An 18,482-nucleotide genomic window follows, 5' to 3' on the forward strand; every position below is an offset into this window, starting at 1 on the left:
TCTTCAGGCAGTTGTTGTGTCTCTCAGCACTTGTTGGGTTCACAACCTATTAAATAAGCCGGCTGGTCTTCACCCTCCCAGACAAGTCAACTCAGGGGAGGCAGCAGGGTGCGGGCCTTGGCCAGGGCCAGGGCCAGGGCCAGGGCCAGGGCTGGTGCCCGGGGCCGCGCTGTGAGGTGGGCAGGCGAGGAGCGGGAAGACCATCTCTGCAAGTGCAGCATAGCCTCGGCCTAGGACAGCGGGAGTGCGTGGCCAAAGCTGTGAGCAGAGGCACAGGTGGTGGCAGACAGTAGAGGCACCCCATGGGGAACATACTGACCTGTCGTGTGCACCCTAGCGTCAGCCTCGAGTTTGACCAGCAACAGGGGTCGGTGTGTCCCTCTGAATCTGAGATCTATGAGGCAGTAGCTGGGGACAGGATGGCAGGAGCGCCCATGGCTGCTGCTGTGCAGCCTGCTGAGGTGACTGTTGAAGTTGGTGAGGACCTCCACATGCACCACGTTCGTGACCGGGAGATGCCTGAAGGTAAGGAGGTGATAGGTGCCATCTACCCTCGGTTTGCCTCTGGCTGCTGCTGTCCCCAAGGTTCCCTTTGAGGCATCCCCCACTTTGAGCTCCTTTCTGCTTGTAGCCAGCTTTTCCGGGGGCTGGCCAGGAACAAAAGCTGGCTCTGCCTTGAATTCCCACCCCTTAGTCTTTCCCCACCAAGTCCAGTCAGTTTCTTTTCGCCTCCCCTCCCAATCGCCCAGTTCTTGCTCTCTCACCTCATTCTCCCAGGCTGGCATGGGACCATTTATTTATGGCTCTTGTCGAATAAGCAGCAGTTGAATAAATGAGTTGATAAATTTTTATAAATGATTACATCTTTTTTCTTTTCTCCCTCTATACATATAGCTTTGGAGTTTAACCTTTCTGCCAATCCAGAGGCAAGCACAATATTCCAGAGGAACTCTCAAACAGATGGTGAGACAACAGTGTCTGTAGCTCTGTTTATTATCCTGTGGGACTTTGTTTAGGCTTCTTTGAGCTATTCTCTTCCTTTTCTCAATAAAAACTCAAATATCCCAACTTTTCAGTACCCATCTTATTTTTTCTTTGTACCTATCCAGATGGTACCTAAGTGAAGGAACCAGGTAAGTGCCTAATTGTTTCCTTTGTTAAAGTAGTCAAATCTCAGGACAGTTCCTATTCAAATATTTGGGGATTTCTTATTTAAAATCAGAATGGAGTTTGCCACGGGAGAGGCTATATGGTATTCTTAATGGGCTGCTTTAAGTCACCTTGATAGAAGCTGCTTAGTTTCTTCTAACTGTAATTTGAACACAGAAGGAAAAAGAAAAAAGGAGAGTGCTTAAAATAATTGTGAAAGGTGTGAAATGTCACAGCCGGGGCTGCAGAAAAATGGTTGTGTGTGTGTGTTTGGGGTTTCTCAAAGGAGTTTACCTATGAGGCTCTGATTACTTTAAAATTCTTACTTTAACAGAAAATGTGTCTCCAGATTTATTCTGGTGACTTAACAGACTTTATTTACCTCCTTGTTCTAAAAGAGAGGTGGGGATTGGTTCATGGTCAAAACTTTCAAAAGACATGAAACGTCAATGTAGACTTTCAATGTGTAATATAAAGATTGCAGGTTAAAATGTCAGACCTTCCCTGTAAGAGTGTTTGTTGCCATGGCTCCCCCTTTGTCCCTTCCCCTCCTGACAATAGCATCTTGTTCAAAGATAAGAAAGTTACAGTTTTGGCTGGGCTTGGTGGCTCACGCCTGTAATCCCAGCACTTTGGGAGGCCGTGGCAGGCGGATCACCTGAGGTCAGGAGTTCCAGACCAGCCTGGCCAACATGGTGAAACGCTGTCTCTACTAAAAAAAAAATACAAAAATTAGCTGGGCGTAGTGGCACATGACTGTAGTTCCAGCTACTCACAAGGCTGAGGCAGGAGAATTGCTTGGACCTGGGAGGTGGAGGTTGCAGTGAGCAGAGATCACGCCAATGCACTCCAGCCTGGGTGACAGAGCGAGACTCCGTCTCACAAAAAAAAAAAAGGAAAGAAAGTTGGAGTTTTTTAGTCTCTACACTGCTGGCAGAGGCAGGGGATGGGAGCCGGTAGAAAAGAGAAAACAATTAGTTGGTTTGCCTCTAAAATTTTGCAAAGAGATGAATCTAAGTAAAAGTAATTCTGGGTAATAATATGGTTCTTGAATAAAAACTGAAATTTTCAAAATAGAAAACATTGCATCATAAACATATTACATCCAGTAGGCTTATTGGTTTCATTTAAATGCCAGAGATTTCATCACTGTAGAGGAAATGTCTTATAGCTCTTCTATTTAAACTTTGGTTGCGCTCTTAATTTTTAAAGAGGTAGGATAATTAAGACTCATTATGAGTGTGACTTTGTAACTTGGAAGTACTATCTTCACATTTCAAGATATTTAAGGATTGCTTTAGAATAAACAAATGTATTATGTGAATTAATTGATTGTACCTTTATACACAAAGCATGTAAGTACTTGTGTAAACTTATACTCTGCTTGGTGATGTTCGGAAAGCCTGATGGATGTTACACACCAGTTAGTAGATGGGTAGTGTTGGATGAGAGCCCAAAAATGGCTCTTTATTGTCATTCTTTAGGATTACAACACAGTTTATGTATGTCTCACTTGGCCCTTTCCAATACAAATAAGGCCTGTGTATGTTCTCCCTATGTGTTGCTAATGAAGAAATGAAAACTTAGAGATATCACATGACTATGGAAGACAGCTACTCAAGAGAACTAAGGTTCTGTGTCCTCAGAATGAAATGGAAGTGACAGATATGATGAATTTACTTTTTAAAAATTTTAAAAACTCTAGAATACCTCTTATATTTTGCCTATAAAATAGACCTGTCTTTTAAAACTTACTGCCATCTTGATTTATTTTATGCAAAGTTGATTTTACACAACTCAAAGCCAAAATTTACCTCTTCTTTTTTTTTTTTTTTTAAATAAAGGAGGGTGTCATTATGTTACTCATGCTGGCCTCAACTTCCTGACCTGGGTTCAAGTGATTTTCCCATCTCAGCCTCCTGAGTAGCTGGGACTACAAGCATGTGCCATCTTGCCTGGCTCTGTCTTGTGTCTATACGCTCATTTCAATGGATAAGAATCAAAGTAGAGATAGTGAAATAGCCTAAATGCAGCAGCCGAATAAACGAGTTGATAAATTTTTATCAATGATTACATCTTTTTTTCTTTTCTTCCTCTATGCATATAGCTTTGGAGTTTAACCCTTCTGCCAATCCAGAGGCAAGCACAATATTCCAGAGGAACTCTCAAACAGATGGTGAGACGACATTGTTTTTTCCGCCAAGAGAAAGAATAAAAGCTCTTGTTTGATCAGGTTATAGAAAGTATTTAGAAAAACTCATATTGGTTTAAAATTTTCATCTTTTCACATGTTCCCTTGTCTTATTTTAATATGTGATATACTTTCCTTTAGTTGTTATGATGTTAGTGAAAACGTGTAACCTTTTTGTTTATACATTTTGCCATCTTTTTATCAACACAATTAATTTGTGATGTGATGGAGGAGTCATGGATTTCTCTTTATAATTCTTGGATTTATCTTTATTTATAATTAATGGATTTATCTTTATTTATAATCCCTTTTCCCTTGCTCCAAAAAGTACATTTTAAAGATGAATGATAGAACTTAGGCTTCAGCTTGGTTTTCATTTAAACAAATTAAAAAACGTAGTTGTTTATCATCAGGGATTGAATCTGTGATTTGGGCCTCCTCTTACACAGTCCTCTGACCACATTCATTTACCACATCCAAGTTCATGCTACTCAAAAGTTTTAGGTTATTAACTTTTTCATTTGATATAATGTAAATTTAAACATGCCTTACTCCTGCTTATTTCCCTTAATGTTATGTTAAATCCTCATTTATTTGCCAACAAGCCATACACAGCCAAGTTTTCCAGTTGACTTAAACAGCAAGAACACAAGTGAGGGTTCTATAATAATGTGCGAAGTAATGCAGCACAGTAAAACACGGGAGTTTGTAACCTTTGTTTTTATAGTTTGAGTAGACTTTGCCCATCTTGAGTCAGTTATTTCTGGTTAGAATTTGTCTTCATTTTTTACATTACTATAAAGAGATACCTAAGGCTGGGTGATTTATAACAAAAAGAGGTTTAATTGGCTCAAAGATTTTCAGGCTGTACAAACATGGCTTTAACATCTGCTTCTGGTGAGGGCCTCAGCAAACTTACAATCATGATAAAAGGCAAAGGGGAAGCAGGTGGTTCCACACCGTGAAAGAGGGAGGAGAGAGGGGAAGGGGGAAGGTACCACACTCTTTTTTTTTTTTTTTTTGAAATGGAGTCTCACTCTGTTGCCCAGGCTGGAGTGCAATGGCACGATCTTGGCTCACTACAACCTCCATCTCCCAGGTTCAAGCAATTCTCCTGCCTCAGCCTCCCGAGTAGTTGGGACTATAGTTGGGCACCATAACACCTAGCTAATTTCTGTATTTTTGGTAGAGACAGGGTTTCACCATGTTGGCCAGGCTGGTCTGAAACTCCTGACCTCAAGTGATCTACCCGCTTCAGCCTCCCAAAGTGCTGGGATTACAGGCTTCAGCCACCGCACCTGGCCAGTACCACAGTCTTTTAAATTACCATAATGAGAATGTGCTTATTACCATGGGGATGGGACCAAGCCATTCATAAGGAATCCACTGCCATTACCCAAACGCCTCCCACTAGGCCCTGTCTCCAACATTAAGGGTCACATGTTAACATGAGACTTGGAGGGGCAACATATCCAAAACATATCAGAATTGTATTTCCCAGTTCCTTCCAGAGGCATGGGCTTCTCACACCTAGAGAGCATGGAAGCAGTAAAAGAAAAGCTATTCCATGTCCCTCACTCTTCAGTGGTAGTAACTTTTGCCTACAAGGCCCTCCCAGCATCAAAGGCAGAGGCAGTGTAGGAAACAAAGCATGGCCCAAGTCCCTCTTGGGGCTTTTATTATTCTGGCCTCTTTTTAGGGAAAAAAAAATGATTTTTTGTGCTGCAGACACCATGTCCAATTAGGTTTGTATACTTATTTTAACATCAAAATTTAGGCCAGGCTCTGTGGCTTACACCTGTAATCCCAACTCTTTGGGAGGTTGAGGTGGGTGGATCACGAGGTTAGGAGATCAAGACCATCCTGGTTAACACAGTGTAACTCTGTCTCTACTAAAAATACAAAAAACAATTAGCTAGGCATGGTGGCACGTGCCTGTGGTCCCAGCTAGTCCGGAGGCTAAGGCTGAAGAATTGCTTGAACCTGGGAGGCAGAGGTTGCAGTGCGCTGAGATCCCGCCACTGCACTCGAGCCTAGGTGACAGAGTGAGACTCCATCTCAAAAAAGAAAACAAATTTAAGATAGGTTACTTTCCAGTTGTGTAAAGACCATTTTTTAATTTTGTTTTGTTTTTAGTGACATATTAGTAGATAACCACTAAGTGTGGTTCAAGATGCTTACAGGGTTTCTGTTGCATCTAGAGATAGGTGTCTGGTCAGGAAGTAGTTTTTAGAACTGTTAGCTCTTAGAGTCTGATAATTAAAGTAAGCTATGTGTAAATGCAGAATGAGAGAATACTAATGGATCATGGCTCATATATGCAACAGTTAAACTTTTTATTAGCTAAATTTTTCATCTGGCCTAATTTTTTTGCCCTTTTCTTTTGTACATGAGGATTCTTTCATTTGTATGTAATAGAAACAAAAAGTAAACTAAATGAAAATCTAAGTTTTTAGATTTGACTTATGAAATTAATCATGCCAGATAATTTAAATTATATGTTATTGAAAATTTTTTTTAATGGAATTTTGTCTCATTTTTCATAGGAGTAATCAGTAAGATGTTAACAACTACTTTTATTTTATGGTATTTGTATCAGAAGTGACCAGTTTTTTTTTTTTTATTCTTAGTTGTAGAAATAAGAAGAAGCAACTGTACAAACCATGTAAGTAAACACTCAAATAGTTAAGAAATTGATAGTTTGACATAAATGGATGTCTCTCTTGATTTCTTTAAATTACAATGTGGACCTGGTGGTGGTAGCATGGACCTCTTTTTGTGGATTTTCTAAATCTCTTCTATTTTCCTGAGTATTAAATTTATCCAGGAAAGTGCTTAGTTTAGCGTGTCCACCTTTTAAAGATTTCTGACATTTAAGTTAAATTTCAATAGTCCGGTTCAAAAGATCTGCCTTAAGGCTGGGCATGGTGGCTAATGTCTGTAATCACAACACTTTAGGAGGCCGAGGCAGGCTGATCATCTGAGGTCAGGAGTTTGAGACAACCCTGACCAACATGGTGAAATTCTGTATCTACTAAAAATACAAAAGTAGCTGGGCGTGGTGGTGCATGCCTGTAATCTCAGCTACTCAGGAGGCTGAGGCAGGAGAATCACTTGAACCCAGGAGGCGGAGGTTGCAGTGAGCCAAGATCGCGCCATTGCACTCCAGCCTGGACGACAGAGCGAAACTCTGTCTCAAAAAAAAAAAAAAAATTGCCTTAAATATTTAATCTTATTTTTAATGAAAGAACAAAAATAGAATAGCTAAGTTAATTGCCAGCACTGTCTATTGACTTTCTGTCACAGCAGGTAAAAGCATACCTTCCCCGCTACACCATGATCTTATGTTTCTCCCTGTGTTTTTTCCAATTGTAGCACACTTTTTAATTAAATCAGTAATATTTACATGATTATGACTCTGCAAATATTATTCACTGCTAAGTCATATGGTGTTTTCACTGTGCCTCTGCATTCCATGTCCTTCATCCTGTCTCTGAAACAGTTCTGAAATCTGAGCACTTCTGCAATTCTCCTGGATCTTCTTTTTTCCTAGCCTACGTTAGTTTATCTATCCAAATATCGTTAAGTAGCCTCTGGGTGCTCTGTTTGCTTTCACATCCATTATTTTTTAGCATGAAGCTAATTTTCTGACTATATTCATTTGCCTGTTTTCTAACAGCTGTTTTCCCCCAAGTATTGTAGCATTTATCACATGCCTTTCAAAGATATTTTCCATCTGCGAAAACACATCTGTTCCTTTTTATGTTTGTGTGGGGGGCAACTTTCTTTGGCCTTTTGTCATCCTAGTTCAATATAGCGTGGGTTTCCCTAGATATGCTCAATGTCTGCTTTTCTGGGCTAACTCTTTAAAGTCTTTTGGTATCTCACGTAACTGCTGTCTTGTGTGGGATCGCCTGAGTCCTAGATTCTGTGTTTCCTTCTGTCCTGTTATCGTCTCTAGTTGTACTTGAACACATTTTCCTGTGTGGAGATGTTAAAATCCCTCCTCTTTGATAGAGAGTACACCTCTAGGTTGAATCTAAATGTTGTGGTTCTGAAGACATTTTGCAGTTGTGCTCTTATTACAGTGTTGTTCTTGAATCTATTGCCAGTGTGTGATACGTTATTTACAACCAGGTTTTAGTTATCTGCGGAAGCTTTTTGGAATCTCTCTCTCTAAGGTTCTGAAATTTTATAACAGCTTGTTGGGGATCTTTTCATTTTATTGAGGCTACTAAACCTGCAGACTATCTCTTCTTGAGAATTTTTTTTTATTTTCTCTGTTACTTTTTTACTGATAGTCTTGTTATTCAGATGCTAGGCTGCTTAGACCAATACGCCTGCATTGATTTTTAATTTTTTCCCTTGTATTTTTTTCAGTTTGTCTTTTTATTCTAGTTCTGGGATATTCTGTGACTTTATCCTCTACTATTTCTATTGAATTTTATATTTTTTGAGAGTGTTTTAAGATTTTTTTTTAAAGTTTTGCTCCTGATTTTGACTGGTCCTATCAATTCCTTTTTTCTATTGTTTTGATCTCTTTTCTTGGAGGCTTCCCTCCAATGTGTGGTGGTCCCTGGCCTGCTTTATTTGGAAGCAGGATTTCTGTTAACTGATAGCACTCAGTGTGAGGCCTTAGAAGCCTGACTAGCTTTTCATTTGGGAGACCTCAGTGTATTATCTGGGGATCTTTATTGAAGACATTTCAGTTTCTTCTGAGAAGGATCTCCCAATTTTCTGCCTGGAAAGTAAAAGCAGGCCTGGAAAGGAAAAGCAGAGTTAGCGAAGAAAGTTGGAGTTCCATTTTTGGTGTACAGTTTTCTTTATATCTCAGGTTTAAGCCATGGTATCTCTGAGCCAGAAATTCTCAGGTTTGATATATCCAGAGAACACACATCTAAGTTTCTTGTCAGATGGAAGGACAGGTGGACTTGGGGCTCTAGTTAGAGATTTGCAACTGAACTTGCTGGCTTTTTTTTTTTTTTTCACATTTTACCCTACTTTCCAAAGTGCCATTTGCCTGTAAGTTCACAACCTGCCTTTAGTTCTGCAAGACAAACTGGCTCGCTTCTGTTCCAGTCACTTTCTGTAGGCACCAAAGTTGTGTTTCTGTGTTATTTACCACTCCTTTATCTACTTTTTATGTCTCAGCATTTATTAGAAATTATCTCTGTCAACCTTCTGTGCTGGTCATGGGTGTAACCTTTATTTTATGACTGATGAGGCTTCCGGAGGGAGACGAAATAAATTTGTGGTCAATCTATTATATTTAATCCAAATTTAGGACCTGTGTTTAAATCAAAGTCTAATTTGAGTATAATTAATGATATTAAGCCAGAGAATTTTTTAAATTAATGTATCTATAATAAGCATATTACACTTTTCTCCTAAGGCCTTGTTTAATATTTTCATTCAAAGTTTATCCACTGCCATATACTTCCCATTACTTCACAACATAGATGGAGCTGTTTTCCTGAATGCCCAAAATGTTAGAAATATTTAAGTTAATTAAGATTTGTTCATTTTTAGCCTGGTCAACATAGCAAGACCTCATGTCTACAAAAAGGTTAAATAAAAAATTAGCCAGGCCTGGTGGCATGCACCTTTCGTATTACCTACTCAGGAGGTTGAGGCAGAGGATCGCTTGAGCTCAGGAGTTTGAGGCTGCAGTTAACTATAATTGCACCACTGCACTCCAGCCTGGGCAACAAAGGGAGACCCTGTCTCGGAAAAAGGAAAAAAGTTACTAATTCTTTAAAAACCTATCTAAAATTTGTCCTGCCCAAAAGGAGAGTGAAAAATATGAACTTTAGTCTTTGTTTTATTTTATGTTTGCTGAGAAAAATGCTGTACTTTATTTATTTATTTATTATTTCCATAGGTTTCTGGGGGAACAGGTGGCATTTGGTGACATGACTAAGTTCTTTAGTGATGATTTGTGAGATTTAGGTGCACCCATCACCTGAGCAGTATCCGCTGAACCCAATTTGTAGTCTTTTATCCCTCACCCTCCTCCCAGCCTTTCCCCGAAGTCCCCAAAGTCCATTGTATCATTCTTATGGCTTTGCATCCTCATAGCTCAGCTCCCACGTATGAAAGAGAACATGATATTTGGTTTTCCATGCTGAGTTATTTCACTTAGAATAATAGTCTTACTTCCATCCAGGTTGCTGGGAATGCCATGAATTCATTCCTTATTATGGCTGAGGTGGTATTCCTCATATATATATATATGTATGTATATCACGGTTTCTTTATCCACTCATTGATTGACGGGCATTTGGGCTGGTTCCATATTTTTGTAATTGTAATTTGTTTGAGTTCCTCATAGATTCTGGATAATAGCCCTTTGTCAGATGTATAGACTGTGAAGATTTCCTCCCACTCTGTGGTTGTCTGTATACTCTGCTGATTGTTCCTTTTCCTGTGCAGAAGCTCTTTAGTTAAGTCTCACCTATTTGTTTCTGTTGCATTTGCTTTTGTGTTCTTGGTCATGAAGTCTTTGCCTAAGCCAGCGTCTAGATGGGTTTTTCCAATGTTATCTTCTAGAACTTTTATGGTTTCAGGTCATAGATTTATGTCCTTGATCCATCTTGAGTTGATTTTTGTGTAAGCTGAGAGTTGAGGATCCAGTTTCATTCTCCCACATGTGGCTTGCCAATTATCCCAGCACCATTTGTTGAATAGGGTTTACTTTCTTCACTTTATGTTTTAGGTGGCTTTGTTGAAAATCAGTTGGCTATAGGTATTTGAGTTTATTTCTGGGTTCTCTATTCTGTTCCATTGGTGTATGTGCCTATTTTTATATCAGTACCATGCTATTTTGGCGACTATGGCCTTATAGTATAGTTTGAAATCAGGTAATGTCATGCCTCCAGATTTGTTGTTTTTGCTTAGTTTTGTTTTGGCTATGCCGGTTCTTGTTTGGTCCATATAAATTTCAGGATTGTTTTTTCTAGTTCTGTGAAGAAGGATGGTGGTATTTTGATGGGAGTTGCATTGAATTTGTAGATTGCTTTTGGCAGTATGGTCATTTTCACAATATTCATTCTACCCATTCATGAGCATGGGGTGTCTTTCCATTTGTTTGTGTCCATGACTTCATTCAGCAACGTTTTGTAGTTCCCAACGGCATATCAAAAAATAATCGGGCCAGGCACAGTGGCTCACACCTGTAATCCCAGCACTTTGGGACGCTGAGGCGGACGGATCATGAGGTCAGGAGTTCGAGACCAGCCTGGCCAACATGGTGAAATCCCATCTCTACTAAAAATACAAAAGTTAGCCGGGTGTGGTGGCGCTCACCTGTAATCCCATCTACTCAGGTGGCTGAGGCAGGAGAATCGCTTGAACCTCGGAGGCAGAGGTTGCAGTGAGCCAAGATCACCGCACTGCATATTCCAGCCTGGGCAACAGAGCGAGACTCCATCTCAAAAAAAAAAAAAAAGATAATCCACCATGATCAAATGGGTTTCATACCAGGGATGCAGGGATGGATTAACATACACAAGTCAATAAATGTGATACACCACATAAACAGAATTAAAAACAAAAAATCACATGATCATCTAAACAGATGCAGAAAAAGCATTTGACAAAATGCAGCATCCTTTTATGATTAAAACCCTCAGCAAAATCAGCATACAAGGGTCACAGCTCAATATAATAAAAGCCATCTATGACAAACCCACAACCAACATGATACTGAAAGGGGGAAAAGTTGAAAGCATTCCCCCCGAGAACTGGAACAAGACAAGGATGCCCACTCTCACCACTTGTATTCAACATACTACTGGAAGGCCTAGCCAGAGCAATCACACAAGAGAAAACAATAAAAGGCATGCAGATCAGTAAAGAGGAAGTCAAACTGTTGCTGTTTGATGATGATATGATCATATACCTAGGAAACCCTAAAGACTCCTCCAAAAAGCTCCTAGAACTGATAAATGAATTCAGCAAAGTTTCAGGAGACAAAATTAATGTACACAAATCAGTAGCGCTGTTATACCCCAGAAGAGACCAAGCTTAGAATCAAACCAAGAACTCAACCCCTTTTCTGATAGCTGCAAAACTAAACTAAACTAAAATAAAATACTTGGGAATAGACCTAACCAAGGAGGTGAAAGATGTCTACAAGGAAAACAACTTTAGTATTTTTAATGGGTTAAAATGAGAGGCAGCAGGTACAGCAGAAGAAGTCAGTGCGTGGGCATCCGCATCCAATGGGTACTGCACCTTTGATGGTAAGGCTTTGGTTTTGACTTACTAAATTACTAGGTACGATTATTTTCTAGTTTTTGTCATTAAACCTTAAAACTACTAAGTAACCCCTTCCATTTCTTGTTAAATATTGTAAAATTTCATACTCTCATTTATGCTGCCTGATGTTAGAGTATTTGTTTCTATTTTGTGACTACCTTAAATAATACCTATAAAGAGTAAACTGTTAGTAGTGTTTTTGCTGTAATTAAATGTAGTAAGACTTACCTTCCAAATGATAACTGAATTGTCAAACACTTGTCGAAGTTTTGGATTTACTCAAAATTCTATGCTCAGCAGCTGGAGGTAGGAAGAGTAAGGGCCCTCCCTTACTCTTATGGAGAGGCATACTTTCTCACAAGGGGAATACTCTGCAGGAATTAGCATCTTGTAAGCAGTGGTGAATTCAACTAATTAGTGTATAAAAATACATTTTTTGGTGTGGCTGCCGACAAAGAGATCCAAGAGGGTAGATGGAGTCGAGCTTGCTGAAGCAAGGAAAGAGAAAAGCAGTATTCTAGGCAGAGAGCAGGGGTAGAGCAGGAAAATGGCTAGGTGCAGGTCAGATGATTTATAGAATGCAATTGATCAAGTTTTGAAGTGAATGCAAAGTATTCTCCGAGAGTCTCATTTGAGTCATGTCTTGGCAGTCTTATTTAAACATGAAGTGAAAGTTAGATTTTTTAAGTTGTCATTTGTTTTCAGGGTGTGAGAGAATATGTAAGTGATACTCTTTTTATCCTCCACATAAGAAAATAGGACTAGAGAAACCTATGGCTTCCTCACTTGTTGGTGGCCTAGCAGCCCTGGCACACAGAGCCTCTGAATCTGAAACACTTCTTTTGTAACAATATCACCTGAAATAATACATTTAGGATTAGTAATTTAGTAAATGCATTAGTCTTGTATTCACTGCAATAAAATGCTCTTGTAGCAGGATTATTTAATACATTACATTTTATTGTAGTAAATAAATAATAGAAGGGCTGGGCGCCATGGCTCACGCCTGTAATCCCAGTACTTTGGGAGGCTGAGGCAGGCAGATCGCGAGGTGAGGAGATCGAGGCCATCCTGGCTAACACGGTGAAACCCCGTCTCTACTAAAAATACAAAAAGTTAGCCGGGCACGGTGGTGGGCGCCTGTAGTCCCAGCTACTCAGGAGGCTGAGTCAGGAGAATGGCGTGAACCCGGGAGGCGGAGCTTGCAGTGAGCCGAGATCGCGCCACTGCACTCCAGCTTGGGCGACAGAGCGAGACTCCGTCTCAAAAATAAATAAATAAATTAATTAATTAATAGAAATTCTCAGCTGCTTTTTATTGCTGCAGAAAAAAAATGAAATCTTATTTTAAACTTTTCTTTTTTTTTTTTTTTTTTTTTTTTTTTTTGAGACGGAGTCTCACTTTGTCTGCCGGCCTGGAGTGCAGTGGCGCGAACTCGGCTCACTGCAAGCTCCGCCTCCTGGGTTCACCCCATTCTCCTGTTTCAGCCTCTCAAGTAGCTGGGACTACAGGGGCCTGCTACCACGCCCGGCTAATTTTTTGTATTTTTAGTAAAGACGGGGTTTCACCATGTTAGCCAGGATGGTCTCGATCTCTTGACCTCGTGATCCGCCCGCCTCCACCTCCCAAAGTGCTAGGATTACAGGTGTGAGCCACCGCGCCCCGCGAAGCCGACTTTTCCCATTATTTTTAACGGTAATTCATAAAATCCTTGTTAGGTTTGATGACAGGTACCATATTAAGGGCAGCATTTTATAACCCATATCTTAAACATCATCTCTGGAAGTTGAGAGCCTCCAATGGGTTTTCTATAGAGTGCACATGATACCACACTCAGGCAGTTCATGGAGTGTAAGACATATCTTAGTGCTTTGTCATTTGACATTTTAACTGAGAAAATAATACACTTTGATAAGTTTGACTTACACTTCCCTTCCCCTTCAGGTATCTACTGTGCGTTTCAGTCAACAATACAGCTTGTGTTCGACAATATTCCTTGATGACAGCACAGCCATCAGCATTATCTTACAATGACAATAATATCGTGAGTACAACTATGCTGCCGAGGGACAGATTCCTTTATTCTAAAATTATTTCAGTCATTTGGTTGTCCTTTTCAGCAATCAGTTTAAGAAATTGGAGTCAACCATATATTGATATCCAGATTCTGAATATTAAGTATCAGTTTCTCTTTTAATCTTAGACGTCGTGGTGGAAGGAAAAATCAGTTAGCAAAGAAGCAATCCCAGAAACAGTGTATCTTTTTGATGCCTTTATGCCTTTAGACAATGTTGAACAGAGTGAGAAGGATAGGTTCCCTTTATTGAATGTTTTCTTGTGGAAACTTAGTTTTTCAATGCATCATAGGCCTAAATCAGTGTGCACTACTTTGGACATTATCCTTGGAAGAAGGAACAGCTTTTCTTCTTCTGGCAACGCAGTGTATCTGCATTTGAATTTCTCCCATTGTGCATGAGCACCTCATGGGCCACAAAGATGCGCTTTGAGAGCACCCTGAGATGAAGTTTATTTTAAAAGGAACAACAACCAACACCACCACCAGCTCCACAGGGGCTGTCCAGTGTACATTATTCTCATCTTCTTGGGTTATTAGTCTTGATTTTTAGAACACAGTTTGGAAAGTGCTAATTTAGAATATTAATGTCTTTATCTTTAATTTAACTTTTCATTCTGTACACATAACTAGCTTATAAACAATTTTGTTTCAAATGCACTAGCCTTTTTAACTAATTCAATTGTCAATAACTTTTACTTCAATTAAAAGTGGAAAGTTTACACTCATAATAATGTCACTTTCCTCCCTCCCTTTTAACAATAGTTGAGAGGAAATTGTGTTTCGAACAAAAACTGGACTCAAACTCTGTCTCAAGTCCTGAGCTTTGGGACCTATTGAGTAATCACTAAATGTCTGTAGTCAGCTAAGTCTCTTAAATCTCTGAGCACACATACACAAAAATTACTTTGACTAGAGTCCCTGGCTTCTTCTGAGTTCCAAAGATTTTCATATGTTAGCATATAATTCAAAAGCAGCTTTGAAGATTAATTTTGCTGAAACAAATTTCGTGCTTTTTTCCTCATTATTCTACTTTTTAGAAGTCTACTTTTGAGAGTATAGTAAGTTTTAATTTGCCACCAGCAAATTTGAGAAATGATCATTTGGTGTATTCACTATTGGTGAAATAAAGTTATTGAACAAATTAATTGGGCAAATTGGCTTCAAGAAGATATTTTGAAAAATGTTTTATCATGAATCAGTAGTGCACTGTTGTCAGTGGGATAGGTGGAACTCGCTGAGATCACTTATGCAAGGTTTTTTTCAAAACACAAGTCTGCAAACACATGTATCTTCCCATCTCCACTTTCCCTCTATCTCTAGGCACTGAGAAGCCTTTTAGGAAAATCGGGATGGATGTGAGGCATCTTTCTGTGAAGAAAAGCATCCCAGAAGATTCTGATTTTCACCCCAACTCAATCATTCCAAACTTTGCTGCTGATTGAAATCACCTGGGAAACGTTTACCAAGAACCTTGATGCCCAAAGCCATACCCAATACTAATTAAATTAAAATGTCTCATGTGGAAGATGAGGCAGATATTAAAGCTTCTCAGGCGATTTTAATGTGCAGCAAAGTTTGACAGCCACTGCTTAATTTGAGTTTAGGATGAGAAACTGCTCCTATTTGGTGGGACCTTGGGCAAGTCAGTTTTAAGGTCTGTTTCCCTGATCTGTAAAACGAGTGTTGAATTAAATGTCACATAAGGTCATTGGTCCTTTCCAGCATGTAACTTTAAATTCTGTGATTTTAAAATTATTTCAGAGATGAAAACTACTTGAAGCACTATAGACATATCCATCTTACCTGCTAATGTTACAGGCTTTTTAAAAAGTGCTAATATTGTGTAGACCTATTAGTAGAATTGAGATTTGCCTTCCCTCAGTTGTTTTGAGGCTCACTCTACAAAATTAGCTGGGTGTGGTGGCACATGCCTGTAATCCCAGCCACTTGGGAGGCTGAGGCAGGAGAATCTCTTGAACCCGGGAGGCAGAGGTTGTGGTGAGCCGAGATCACACCATTGCACTCCAGCCTGGGCAACAAGAGCGAAACTCCACCCACCGCCCCCCTCCAAAAAAAAATTATCTGGGCATAGTGACACAAACTTGTAGTCCCAGCTTCTTGGGAGGCTGAGGCATGAGAATCGCTTGAACCTGGGTGGTGGAGGTTGTGAGGAGTCAAGATGGCACCACTGCAGTCCAGTCTGAGCAAGAGAGACAGACTCTGGGTCAAAAAATAAATAAATACATAAAATAAATCGCATGGGACGAAAGGTTTCGTGGGTAGAAAAGCATGTAACAAGGAAATCTGTTATTATTTATATATTGTAATCACCAACAGAAACGCGTCTTCTAACGGCATATTTCCTTGCATTTTGGTTCTCATATTTTTGTAAAAAACAAAGAAATGAAAACAAAGTGCCCTTATGGTACTGTTCTGAACTAGAAGATTTGAATTTCAGGGCCACTAGGAGAGTTTCCTCTGCCCCCCTTTTAAAAAATGTCTTCAGGCCTAACAAATGTTAACATCTATTGTTATGAATTTTTTTTCCTTCCACAGTGTGACCTTGGAGATACCTCATCATATCACACAAAGGTGAGCTTTTTAGAAACCTGTCTTGTTATTCTAGCTAAGTACTTTGCAAGATATCAAGCTCAGTGTTAGGCACATCATAAGCTGTATTGTGCCTACTAAAATATTGAAGCAAATTATTTGTATTTTCTTTGTTCCTTAAGACTCTCATAATTCTTAAATGATTGAGAATCTCAAAGAGTATGTGTTTATATTGATTATATTGATATTTAGTGTGGTAGAATTATACAATTGAAATTTTTTCAAAATCTATTTTTAGTTTAGATTTCACAGCCTTACCACTGTTGATATTATGGGCTAGATAATGCTTTGTTGTGAGGACTGTCTTGTGCATTGCAGAGAGTTTAGCAGTATTCATGGCCTCTACCAACTAGATATCAGTAGTAACCCATGACCCAGGTTATAACAACAGAAAATATTCCTTGAGAACAGTATTGTTAACAGAATTTTTTCATTGAAAAATAACTTTTCTACAACAAAAAGTTGAGTAAAAAGTGCGTCATGTATTTATATTATTTAAAGTCTCTCATGTTGAGCTTAATAGGAGACAAATGGATTCTCTAGAGCTTTCTTTGCAATTTGCTTTAAAGCAGCAATAAGAGGTTGGGCACGGTGTCTCACGCCTGTAATCCCAGCACTTTGGGAGGCTGAGGCGGGCGGATCACAAGGTCAGGAGATCGAGACCATCCTGGCTAACACAGCGAAACCCCGTCTCTACTAAAAATACAAAAACTTGGCTGGGCATGATGGCACACACCTGTAGTCCCACCTATTCTGGAGGCTGAGGCAGGAGAACCGCTTGAACTTGGGAGGCGGAGGTTGCAGAGAGCTGAGATGGTGCTATTGCACTGCAGCCTGGGTGACAGAGCAAGACTCTGCCTAAACAAACAAACAAAAAAAGCAATAAGCTGGTGGGGCGCAGTGGTTCACACCTGTAATCCCAGCATTTTGGGAGGCCGAGGTGGGTGGATCACTTGAGGTCAGGAGTTTGAGACCAGCCCGACCAACATGGTAAAACCCGCCTCTACTGAAAGTACAAAAAATGGCTGGGCGTGGTGGTGCATGCCTGTAGTCCCAGTTACTTGGGAGGCTGAGGCAGGAGAATCGCTTGAGCCTGGGAGGTGGAGGTTGCAGTGAGCCGAGATCTCGCCATTGCACCCCAGCCTGGGTGACAGAGAGAGACTCTGTCTCAAAAAAAGAAAAAAAGAAGCAATAAGATGACCGAACCTCATGCAAATATGTAGTTGGTAGAAGGTGTATTTTTAAACTTTTCAGACAGTTGTGGGTATTTGTTAACACTAAATCAAAACTTCACAAGTGGTGGTTTCTTAAATTAGTTACGGTGGCATTTTACATATTAATAAATTTATTCCATCAGTACTCATTGATCTTTCTTCCACAGTAAATGGATCTTTTGCTCCATACTTGCATTTATAATATCATGCATTAGTTACTTGGAATATATCGGTTTATGTTTTATTGTGTCAAAAATCACTTTTAGTTTAACCACCAATCTTACTTTAACACGCCTTTAAGTATTGAATAGCTGCCAAGCCTACAGTAGAAGGAACAAGTTTTTCAAAGTCCACAGGAAAGCTTAAATTTTATCATTGGGAACAAATACGTATTTCCCTTGAAGTGACAACCTCTCACTTCATTTATTTTTGAGAATGATAGTTGAACTGGTTTTTTAGACCGAGTTTCACTCTGTCACTTGGCTGGAGTGCATTGGCATGATCTCAGCTCAAGCAATCCTCTCACCTCAGGCTCCTTTGTAGCTGGCACCACAGATGTGTGGCACCACGCCAGGCTAATTTTCTTATATGTTTGACAGTGACAGGGTTTCGTTATGTTGCCTAGGCTGGTCTCGAACTCCTGAAGGAGCTCAAGCCATCTGCCTGCTTTGGTCTCTCAAAGTGCTGGGATTTTACAGGCGTGAGCCACTGCGCTGGCCCAGTTGTACTTTTAAATAAAAATGATGTTCTGTGAAAAAAGTGATTTTTCAGTTCATAGTTAAATCACGGATTCTTTAAAAACAAAAAAAAAAGCGCTTCTGGTTAACTTTCCACTTATTCAGAATATTAGAGACATGTCAAGATTTAACAACATTAATTTTTACTGCTTCATCAAAGACATTCTTAAGAAATTCAGGCTATGTTTTTTACCTGTAGGGGACAGTGAAGAATAGAATGACTACTAATGTAATTGGTACCACTG

General features: G+C 39.7%; 1 pseudogene across 1 annotated transcript in view; it reads left to right on the forward strand.

Annotated features, from left to right (window-relative positions):
* The window catches only part of AGAP10P (ArfGAP with GTPase domain, ankyrin repeat and PH domain 10, pseudogene), a 20,866-nt pseudogene continuing 2,384 nt past the window's right edge, over positions 1-18,482 (forward strand). The window contains exons 1-6 of the transcript NR_160521.1: positions 1-525; positions 895-963; positions 3,257-3,325; positions 5,971-6,005; positions 13,544-13,643; positions 16,233-16,268. The product of NR_160521.1 is annotated as an ArfGAP with GTPase domain, ankyrin repeat and PH domain 10, pseudogene (transcript). The remainder of the gene's footprint in view (positions 526-894; positions 964-3,256; positions 3,326-5,970; positions 6,006-13,543; positions 13,644-16,232; positions 16,269-18,482) is intronic.

This window comes from Homo sapiens, chromosome 10 (genome assembly GCF_000001405.40).
Source record: "Homo sapiens chromosome 10, GRCh38.p14 Primary Assembly".
Lineage (NCBI taxonomy): Eukaryota > Metazoa > Chordata > Mammalia > Primates > Hominidae > Homo > Homo sapiens.